General features: G+C 43.6%; 2 annotated features.

Moving 5' to 3' along the window:
• Window positions 3,971–4,594: an enhancer, noted in NCBI's record as "OCT4-H3K27ac-H3K4me1 hESC enhancer chr18:45186392-45187015 (GRCh37/hg19 assembly coordinates)". NCBI's record gives its function as "activates a minimal SCP1, AML or CMV promoter by ChIP-STARR-seq in primed H9 embryonic stem cells {active_cell/tissue: H9 hESC(primed)}" and the evidence as "EXISTENCE:reporter gene assay evidence [ECO:0000049][PMID:30033119]".
• Window positions 4,595–5,217: an enhancer, noted in NCBI's record as "OCT4-NANOG-H3K27ac-H3K4me1 hESC enhancer chr18:45187016-45187638 (GRCh37/hg19 assembly coordinates)". NCBI's record gives its function as "activates a minimal SCP1, AML or CMV promoter by ChIP-STARR-seq in naive and primed H9 embryonic stem cells {active_cell/tissue: H9 hESC(naive and primed)}" and the evidence as "EXISTENCE:reporter gene assay evidence [ECO:0000049][PMID:30033119]".

Genomic DNA, 11,917 nt, shown 5'->3' on the forward strand with positions numbered 1-11,917 from the left:
CTCCGTCTCTAGCTAAAAATACAAAAATTAGTGGGATGTGATGGCGCATACCTGTATCTCAGCTATTCAGGAGGCTGAGACAGGAGAATCACTTGAACCCAGGAGGCGGAGGTTGCAGAGAGCTGAGATCACGCCACTGCATTCCAGCCTGGGTGACAGAGCAAGACTCTACCTCAAAAAAAAAATTATACAAATTTACTTATTCATTTTCAATCATTTAAACATTTATTGAGTATCTTCTATGCCCCAGACAAAGTATTGAACCTAGGGTTATGAAGATAAATAAGACACAGTTACTCAAAGAACTTGCAATCTAAAAAGGGAGACTGTAGACACTTAAAGAGAGTCTGTGTGATAATAGACATATGCAAAAGTCATTATGGGAGCAAACAGGAGGGAGGTGGGGAGCAGAGACAAGATGGGAAGTCTCCCTGGAGGTGAAGATGACTGAGATGTGGTGGAAATATATGTGGCTTAGTCAGACAAAAGGGGATAGAAGAGCTCCCCAGACAGAAGGAGCAGCATGAACAGAGGCTTGTGGGAGGGGAACAACTTGGGGAGTGCATGTTTGTGTGTGCATGGACATGAGAGAATTATAATCCCATCAAGAATTTTTAGAGCCTAACGTTAAAGGCAGAAAATAATGACAGATCAGTCCAAAGCTAAGTAGTGTCCTAAGTCACATATTAAGAAGCTGGGAATTTACTTACTCATGGGAAATGGGGAATTGCTCCATACTTTAAGCAGAGGAATGGCATGGTCAGATTTGGTGTTAGAAAGCTCTTTAGGCCTAGAGGATGGGGGAAAGGATTAGAGGGAAGCAGGCTTTGAAGCAGGGAGACAGGAGGAAGGGCTGAGCAGTGATCCAACTGAGGGTCATGAGGACCTGAGCAGGCGAAGGCCCAAGAGCCTGGTTATAGGTCAGAAGATAGCATAGAAAGACAGAAGGATGGAAAATACAGAGAAGCATGCAGGAGCCCCTTGGGACATGGTGACAAAATTAACTTCACTGTAACTGGAATACCAGAGCGCAGAAAATCTTTAAAGCAGCAAGAGAAAAGAAGAAATATTACCTTCAAAGAGCAGCAGTAAGACTTATAGCCAACTTCTCGACAGAAATAATGGAAGCCAGAAGATAGAGAATGATAGATTCAAAGTCCTCAAAGAAAACAACTGCCAACACAAAATTCCTACAATGACTATATCCTTCAAAAACAAAGATGGAAAAGAGTTTTCTGCTTCCTGGTGGGATACAGTAGCTTAAGGCACACCAGTCTCCCTGCCAAGAAACACTAGCAGGGCCAGATGAAATAGAGAAATCATTCATTTGAAGTCATCGAAGATGTGCTGAGGAAATGGGAACTGGAGAGGCTCAGATTCTGGAAAGAGAGGGAATTTGGAGAGGTCAGCTGACTTCCCAGCCTGCAGGAGTCTGAGAATGGGGCTTTGCACCAACGGCTGCTGCTTGGGACCAGAGAATACAGCAGGACTTCTGATGGAAATTTGGGTGGGCGAGGGAGGTCTTGATCTCATGGTCTCTTTTCCTCTCAAGCAAATCCTTCACCAGAGCTCCCTGCTACACTTCCTCTGCAGAACAGATGCTTGAGATAATGCTGGATGCTGCAGCCTGGGTCAGAGTGGGGCTGGATCCCTGCCCTCTGTCCTGCCCAGCTTTCCATGGAGCTCAGGGGGATGACTTTGGTTCTGGATGGCCTCAGAAGTTATGTAGCTGTACTGGCTTAATGAGAGAGTGAAGGTCAGGGTCAGAGTCAGAGCTGGGAACACAAAAGAAGGGTTGAGGGCAGAGATGGGTCACACCTAAGCCAGTTTTGGGAGACCACAATTAAGGAAAATCCAGAGACCTGGAACCCCACCTCTTACCTGAGACTGAACTCATGGCCTCTCCCATAAGCATGCTTCTTTGCTTATTATTCTTCTCTTCCTGCCTGGAATATCTTCTTAAACCACCTCTCCTCTCTCTAGCTATTCATTATTTCTCCTACAAGCCCTACCCACTATCATGAAGGAATCTGCACAGAGCCCTCCCTCCTTGACACCCTCAGACCACTTGCCATTGGTCACAAACTCCCTTGTATGATTGGCACTCAATCCCATCTTGAACAGTTCCCAATTACCCTACCAGACTGTAAGCTCCTTGAGGGCACAGGCCAGCACCAGAACAGGGGTCTACACCTAACACACACCTGAACATGATACTTTGAGTGAGGAGAGAGATAATGACTGTGGCATTCTCAAGAGGCAAATATCTGAGCACTCAAGGTCAGGGCAAATGTAGATCCTCAGTTCTTGAAGGCAGAGGTCTTGTCTTCTCTTTCATCTCCCAACTTCCAGCCTCCTCACTCCCTAGAGCCTTGCTCATAGAAAGTACATGTTGAGACCAGGTGCAGTGGCTCACACCTGCAATCCCAGCACTTTGGGAGGCCAAGGCAGGTGGATCACTTGAGCATAGGAGTTTGAGAGCAGCCTAGGCAACATGGCGAAATCCTGTCTCCACCAAAAATACAAAAAGTTAGCTGGGCATGGTGGTGCACACTTGCAGTCCCAGCTACTTGGGAAGCTGAGGTGGGAGGATCACTTGAGCCTGGGAGGTGGAGGCTGCAGTGAGCCTAGATGGCGCCACTGCACTCCAGCCTGGATGACAGAGTGAGACCCTGTCTCAAAAACTAAAGTACATGTTGAATGACTGAATGAAGCCATTTTTCCAGTTATCTTTGTAATGGACTGGTCAAGATTTCTCCTCCTCCTTTTCCTCCTCCTCTTCCACCTCTTCCTTTATCTTCACCAGCCTCAGAGAGGACCTGGACCTCAGACTTGACTTTTGGGATACGGACTCCTTTAGGAATCTAAACCCTCTCTCTTTCTAAAAAAAAAAAAAAAAAAAAAAAAAGGACTTCTCCCTGTACCAAACTATATCACCCATACAGTGGATCTTTTGAATGGTCTAATGAAATGGGATGGAGATTGTCACCAAGGATTGGCTCCTATCTGTGAGGGCACCTGAGGCCACAAACACTCCTCTCCAAAGAGAATCAAAGTGATGTGATCATTTTTCCAGCTTATTCATGTGATTTCCAGCCACTTGTGATGTATAAACTGGCCATATATAATCTTGGGCAAGTCACGGGACCTCAGTTATCTCATTACAAAAGAAAAAAAATCTCATTATAAAAAGAAAAAAAATTAGATGACCAAGACAAAAAGTTTTCACTTGATTCCATGGATGATCAATACAAGATCAATAAGATCAATGCCATATTCTTTGTCCCCACAGAGAAATCCCAACATTGACTCTAACAATGATTTTGATGTCAGTTGACACTGGGCTCATTCCCTCTCAGCCTGAGGCCCTATCTTGCAGGGCCACCTCCTTCTTGTTACCAGGTATGCTAGACTGAATAATGGCCCCCAAAGATATCCAAGTACTAATTTCTGGAACCTGTGAATGTTACCTTATATGGCAAAAGGGGCTTAACAGTTGTGATTAAGTGTGATTACCTTGAGGGTGATTACCACAAACTTAGTAGCTTCAAACAACACAGATACATTACCTTAAAGTTTTGTAGGACAGATATCCAACATGGGTCTCACCGGGTAAGGTCAAGGTGCTGGCAGGTCTGAGTTCCTTTGGGAGGCTCTAGGGGAGGGCCTGTTTCCTGCCTTTTTCAGCTTCCTTTTCAGCTTCTAATGGCCACCTGTCTTCCTTGGCTGTTGGCCCCATCCTTGGGCCAAGTCCTTCTCATGCTGCCATCTCTTGTATTCTCCCTTCCAATTCCCTTTTCCACTTTTAAGGACCCAGGTGATTACACTGGGCCCACAGGACAATGTCCAAGAATCTCCCTATCTTAAGATCAGCTGACTAGCAACCTTAATTCCCCTCTGCCATATAACCTAACATATTCACAGGTTCTGACAGTTAGAACATAGACCTCTCTGTGTAGTGGGGGCAGGTGGATATTCTGCCTACCATAGAAGGAGACAGTAAGGAGAACCTTCCAGACAAGAAGGAGAAGTATGACAGAGAAGTATGAGCCAAAGTCCATAAGAAGAAATCAGAGTTTCAGAAGGAGAATCATGAAAATAAGGCTGAAGACATAGTTTAGAGTCAGATGGTGGGCAAAGGGCTTTGAATGCCAGGATGGTGTAGGGCTCTGTTGTATAAACAAGAGGAAACAGGGTGTCCCTTGCTGGGACTGTGGTATAAAAGTTGCCTGGATGGGCCAGGTGCGGTGGCTCATGCCTGTAATCCTAGCACTTTGGGAGGTTGAGGCGGGCAGATCATGAGGTCAAGAGTTCGAGACCAGAGGAGGAGCCAAGATGGCCGAATAGGAACAGCTCCGGTCTACAGCTCCCAGCGTGAGCGACGCAGAAGACGGGTGATTTCTGCATTTCCATCTGAGGTACCGGGTTCATCTCACTAGGGAGTGCCAGACAGTGGGCGCAGGCCAGTGTGTGTGCGCACCGTGCGCGAGCCGAAGCAGGGCGAGGCATTGCCTCACCTGGGAAGCGCAAGGGGTCAGGGAGTTCCCTTTCCGAGTCAAAGAAAGGGGTGACTGACGCACCTGGAAAATCGGGTCACTCCCACCCGAATATTGCGCTTTTCAGACTGGCTTAAGAAACGGCGCACCACGAGACTATATCCCACACCTGGCTCAGAGGGTCCTACGCCCACGGAATCTCGCTGATTGCTAGCACAGCAGTCTGAGATCAAACTGCAAGGCGGCAACCAGGCTGGGGGAGGGGCGCCCGCCATTGCCCAGGCTTGCTTAGGTAAACAAAGCAGCCAGGAAGCTCGAACTGGGTGGAGCCCACCACAGCTCAAGGAGGCCTGCCTGCCTCTGTAGGCTCCACCTCTGGGGGCAGGGCACAGACAAACAAAAAGACAGCAGTAACCTCTGCAGACTTAAGTGTCCCTGTCTGACAGCTTTGAAGAGAGCAGTGGTTCTCCCAGCACGCAGCTGGAGATCTGAGAATGGGCAGACTGCCTCCTCAAGTGGGTCCCTGACCCCTGACCCCCGAGCAGCCTAACTGGGAGGCACCCCCCAGCAGGGGCACACTGACACCTCACACGGCAGGGTATTCCAACAGACCTGCAGCTGAGGGTCCTGTCTGTTAGAAGGAAAACTAACAACCAGAAAGGACATCTACACCGAAAACCCATCTGTACATCACCATCATCAAAGACCAGAAGTAGATAAAACCACAAAGATGGGGAAAAAACAGAACAGAAAAACTGGAAACTCTAAAACGCAGAGTGCCTCTCCTCGTCCAAAGGAACGCAGTTCCTCACCAGCAATGGAACAAAGCTGGATGGAGAATGATTTTGACGAGCTGAGAGAAGAAGGCTTCAGACGATCAAATTACTCTGAGCTACGGGAGGACATTCAAACCAAAGGCAAAGAAGTTGAAAACTTTGAAAAAAATTTAGAAGAATGTATAACTAGAATAACCAATACAGAGAAGTGCTTAAAGGAGCTGATGGAGCTGAAAACCAAGGCTCGAGAACTACGTGAAGAATGCAGAAGCCTCAGGAGCCGATGCGATCAACTGGAAGAAAGGGTATCAGCAATGGAAGATGAAATGAATGAAATGAAGCGAGAAGGGAAGTTTAGACAAAAAAGAATAAAAAGAAATGAGCAAAGCCTCCAAGAAATATGGGACTATGTGAAAAGACCAAATCTACGTCTGATTGGTGTACCTGAAAGTGATGTGGAGAATGGAACCAAGTTGGAAAACACTCTGCAGGATATTATCCAGGAGAACTTCCCCAATCTAGCAAGGCAGGCCAACGTTCAGATTCAGGAAATACAGAGAACACCAGAAAGATACTCCTCGAGAAGAGCAACTCCAAGACACATAATTGTCAGATTCACCAAAGTTGAAATGAAGGAAAAAATGTTAAGGGCAGCCAGAGAGAAAGGTCGGGTTACCCTCAAAGGAAAGCCCATCAGACTAACAGCGGATCTCTCAGCAGAAACCCTACAAGCCAGAAGAGAGTGGGGGCCAATATTCAACATTCTTAAAGAAAAGAATTTTCAACCCAGAATTTCATATCCAGCCAAACTAAGCTTCATAAGTGAAGGAGAAATAAAATACTTTATAGACAAGCAAATGCTGAGAGATTTTGTCACCACCAGGCCTGCCCTAAAAGAGCTCCTGAAGGAAGCGCTAAACATGGAAAGGAACAACCAGTACCAGCCGCTGCAAAATCATGCCAAAATGTAAAGACCATCGAGACTAGGAAGAAACTGCATCAACTAATGAGCAAAATCACCAGCTAACATCATAATGACAGGATCAAATTCACACATAACAATATTAACTTTAAATATAAATGGACTAAATTCTGCAATTAAAAGACACAGACTGGCAAGTTGGATAAAGAGTCAAGACCCATCAGTGTGCTGTATTCAGGAAACCCATCTCACGTGCAGAGACACACATAGGCTCAAAATAAAAGGATGGAGGAAGATCTACCAAGCCAATGGAAAACAAAAAAAGGCAGGGGTTGCAATCCTAGTCTCTGATAAAACAGACTTTAAACCAACAAAGAACAAAAGAGACAAAGAAGGCCATTACATAATGGTAAAGGGATCAATTCAACAAGAGGAGCTAACTATCCTAAATATTTATGCACCCAATACAGGAGCACCCAGATTCATAAAGCAAGTCCTCAGTGACCTACAAAGAGACTTAGACTCCCACACATTAATAATGGGAGACTTTAACACCCCACTGTCAACATTAGACAGATCAACGAGACAGAAAGTCAACAAGGATACCCAGGAATTGAACTCAGCTCTGCACCAAGCAGACCTAATAGACATCTACAGAACTCTCCACCCCAAATCAACAGAATATACATTTTTTTCAGCACCACACCACACCTATTCCAAAATTGACCACATACTTGGAAGTAAAGCTCTCCTCAGCAAATGTAAAAGAACAGAAATTGTAACAAACTATCTCTCAGACCACAGTGCAATCAAACTAGAACTCAGGATTAAGAATCTCACTCAAAGCCGCTCAACTACATGGAAACTGAACAACCTGCTCCTGAATGACTACTGGGTACATAACGAAATGAAGGCATAAATAAAGATGTTCTTTGAAACCAACGAGAACAAAGACACCACATACCAGAATCTCTGGGACACATTCAAAGCAGTGTGTACAGGGAAATTTATAGCACTAAATGCCCACAAGAGAAAGCAGGAAAGATCCAAAATTGACACCCTAACATCACAATTAGAAGAACTAGAAAAGTGAGAGCAAACACATTCAAAAGCTAGCAGAAGGCAAGAAATAACTAAAATCAGAGCAGAACTGAAGGAAATAGAGACACAAAAAACCCTTCAAAAAATCAATGAATCCAGGAGCTGGTTTTTTGAAAGGATCAACAAAATTGATAGACCGCTAGCAAGACTAATAAAGAAAAAAAGAGAGAAGAATCAAATAGACACAATAAAAAATGATAAAGGGGATATCACCACCGATCCCACAGAAATACAAACTACCATCAGAGAATACTACAAACACCTCTACGCAAATAAACTAGAAAATCTAGAAGAAATGGATAAATTCCTGGACACATACACTCTCCCAAGACTAAACCAGGAAGAAGTTGAATCTCTGAATAGACCAATAACAGGCTCTGAAATTGTAGCAATAATCAATAGTTTACCAACCAAAAAGAGTCCAGGACCAGATGGATTCACAGCCGAATTCTACCAGAGGTACAAGGAGGAACTGGTACCATTCCTTCTGAAACTATTCCAATCAATAGAAAAAGAGGGAATCCTCCCTAACTCATTTTATGAGGCCAGCATCATTCTGATACCAAAGCCGGGCAGAGACACAACCAAAAAAGAGAATTTTAGACCAATATCCTTGATGAACATTGATGCAAAAATCCTCAATAAAATACTGGCAAACCGAATCCAGCAGCACATCAAAAAGCTTATCCACCATGATCAAGTGGGCTTCATCCCTGGGATGCAAGGCTGGTTCAATATACGCAAATCAATAAATGTAATCCAGCATATAAACAGAGCCAAAGACAAAAACCACATGATTATCTCAATAGATGCAGAAAAAGCCTTTGACAAAATTCAACAACCCTTCATGCTAAAAACTCTCAATAAATTAGGTATTGATGGGACGTATCTCAAAATAATAAGAGCTATCTATGACAAACCCACAGCCAATATCATACTGAATGGGCAAAAACTGGAAGCATTCCCTTTGAAAACTGGCACAAGACAGGGATGCCCTCTCTCACCGCTCCTATTCAACATAGTGTTGGAAGTTCTGGCCAGGGCAATCAGGCAGGAGAAGGAAATAAAGGGTATTCAATTAGGAAAAGAGGAAGTCAAATTGTCCCTGTTTGCAGACGACATGATTGTTTATCTAGAAAACCCCATCGTCTCAGCCCAAAATCTCCTTAAGCTGATAAGCAACTTCAGCAAAGTCTCAGGATACAAAATCAATGTACAAAAATCACAAGCATTCTTATACACCAACAACAGACAAACAGAGAGCCAAATCATGGGTGAACTCCCATTCACAACTGCTTCAAAGAGAATAAAATACCTAGGAATCCAACTTACAAGGGATGTGAAGGACCTCTTCAAGGAGAACTACAAACCACTGCTCAATGAAATAAAAGAGGACACAAACAAATGGAAGAACATTCCATGCTCATGGGTAGGAAGAATCAATATCGTGAAAATGGCCATACTGCCCAAGGTAATTTAGAGATTCAATGCCATCCCCATCAAGCTACCAATGACTTTCTTCACAGAATTGGAAAAAACTACTTTAAAGTTCATATGGAACCAAAAAAGAGCCCACATCGCCAAGTCAATCCTAAGCCAAAAGAACAAAGCTGGAGGCATCACACTACCTGACTTCAAACTATACTACAAGGCTACAGTAACCAAAACAGCATGGTACTGGTACCAAAACAGAGATATAGATCAATGCAACAGAACAGAGCCCTCAGAAATAATGCCGCATATCTACAACTATCTGATCTTTGACAAACCTGAGAAAAACAAGCAATGGGGAAAGGATTCCCTATTTAATAAATGGTGCTGGGAAAACTGGCTAGCCATATGGAGAAAGCTGAAACTGGATCCCTTCCTTACACCTTATACAAAAATCAATTCAAGATGGATTAAAGATTTAAACATTAGACCTAAAACCATAAAAACCCTAGAAGAAAACCTAGGCATTACCATTCAGGACATAGGCGTGGGCAAGGACTTCAGGTCTAAAACACCAAAAGCAATGGCAACAAAAGCCAAAATTGACAAATGGGATCTAATTAAACTAAAGAGCTTCTGCACAGCAAAAGAAACTACCATCAGAGTGAACAGGCAACCTACAACATGGGAGAAAATTTTTGCAACCTACTCATCTGACAAAGGGCTAATATCCAGAATCTACAATGAACTCAAACAAATTTACAAGAAAAAAACAAACAACCCCATCAAAAAGTGGGCGAAGGACATGAACAGACACTTCTCAAAAGAAGACATTTATGCAGCCAAAAAACACATGAAGAAATGCTCATCATCACTGGCCATCAGAGAAATGCAAATCAAAACCACTATGAGATATCATCTCACACCAGTTAGAATGGCAATCATTAAAAAGTCAGGAAACAACAGGTGCTGGAGAGGATGTGGAGAAATAGGAACACTTTTACACTGTTGGTGGGACTGTAAACTAGTTCAACCATTGTGGAAGTCAGTGTGGCGATTCCTCAGGGATCTAGAACTAGAAATACCATTTGACCCAGCCATCCCATTACTGGGTATGTACCCAAAGGACTATAAATCATGCTGCTATAAAGACACATGCACACGTATGTTTATTGCGGCACTATTCACAATAGCAAAGACTTGGAACCAACCCAAATGTCCAACAATGATAGACTGGATTAAGAAAATGTGGCACATATACACCATGGAATACTATGCAGCCATAAAAAATGATGAGTTCATATCCTTTGTAGGGACATGGATGAAATTGGAAACCATCATTCTCAGTAAACTATCGCAAGAACAAAAAACCAAACACCGCATATTCTCACTCATAGGTGGGAATTGAACAATGAGATCACATGGACACAGGAAGGGGAATATCACACTCTGGGGACTGTGGTGGGGTCGGGGGAGGGGGGAGGGATAGCATTGGGAGATATACCTAATGCTAGATGACACATTAGTGGGTGCAGCGCACCAGCATGGCACATGTATACATATGTAACTAACCTGCACAATGTGCACATGTACCCTAAAACTTAGAGTATAATAAAAAAAATAAAAATAAATAAAAAAAAAAAAAAAAAAAAAGAGTTTGAGACCAGCCTGCCCAATATGGTGAAACCCTGTCTCTACTAAAAATACAAAAATTAGCTGGGCGTGGTGGTGCACACCTGTAGCCCCAGCTACTCAGGAGGCTGAGGCAGCAGAATCCCTTGAATCTGGGAGGCGAAGGTTTCAGTGAGCCGAGGGACAGTGCAGTACCTGGGAAACAGAGCAAGCCTCCGTCAAAAAAAAAAAAAAAAATCCTGGATGTTGTCATTTATTTCTTTGACCTTCTCTCCATCATGGCACTGGGAAGTGAGGAAAGCGGTTCTCCTGGGCATCTATGGGCAGCTGTGGACAGGTGTAGAATTAATATGACCAAAACAGCAGGACACTGAAAACGGAAAGTGGGAAGAGAGGAGGAAAAGAGAGAGTGAACAGAACAGAGTTTAACCCCTTCATAACCTGCTCGCACCTTTTAATTCCCATTGAATAGGCCTGATTCCATTTTGATAGAAAACATGCCCAGTGCGTGGTTCAGAAGGCTATAGAATTGAGAGCTATTAAATACTAAAAAGACAAGGTGAGAAACAATTTGCAAAATCTCCTCTTTTTATAGACTGCAGCGATTGAGAAAAATTGAGTAAATTCCCCAGCTGCCTCAACTGCAGTCTGTTTCAAGATTCCATCAATTTTTTACGGTACAATCAATATTTATGAATCCCCAAAGAAATGTCGCAAAGAGAAACCCAGCACAACATTTTCTCAGTGGTTTGCAGAGATGTTAACAGGGGGACCTAAATAACTTTTAAAATAATCTCAATGACAATCAAAGACTCTTCCATAGCCAATGCGGTTTAATGTCGGGCTTTATATTAGCGCTGCTCTGCCGGGGGCGGGGGCGGGGAAGGGAAAACGCTGAGAGTTTAATCTGTCCAAAAGATGACACTTGGCTATAATAAGTACGCTGTAATATGGTACTTAAAAATCCAAAGGAAGTGCTATATTAATAAGTCCCTGGATTTTTTGTTTAATGCATTCAAATATCGGTTAAGCAATAGATTTTTTCAGTCAGCTGGAAAAAAAAAGATTTCTGGGGGAAAAAAACAGACAAATCCACATTGCTTTAATGGCTACTTTAGGTTTAATATCTAAACTTATTTAAATAACTCTGCGCCCTCCTGCTGAAAAATATTGAAACTAATGGATTCCTTTGTGCGTAATCTCCATTTAAATGTGGAGTTTAATTTCCCTTTTGGCTAAACCTATGGGAAACTAGTCTTGAAATGTCCCTCTTAAAAAAGAGACGAAAACCCCATATAGAATATTTAGGGGCATTCCTTTATTTTATTTAAAATTGGTTTGGGGCATTAAAACTAAGTAGCCAACGAAAAGCAAGCCCGCAGACTCCCTACGTTTATACCTGGAGCCCGAGGTGGGTGCTGGGCGACTGTGGTTTCCCGGGTGCGCAGACGCCCATGTGCGCAATCAGAGTGCCTAAGCCCCGCGCAGATCCGGCACCCCTTGGGGGGTAATCCCCGCCAGGGCCTGGCTCTCTCGACCCCCAAACGCTGTCCCCATCC

This window comes from Homo sapiens, chromosome 18 (genome assembly GCF_000001405.40).
Source record: "Homo sapiens chromosome 18, GRCh38.p14 Primary Assembly".
Classification (NCBI taxonomy): Eukaryota; Metazoa; Chordata; class Mammalia; order Primates; family Hominidae; genus Homo; species Homo sapiens.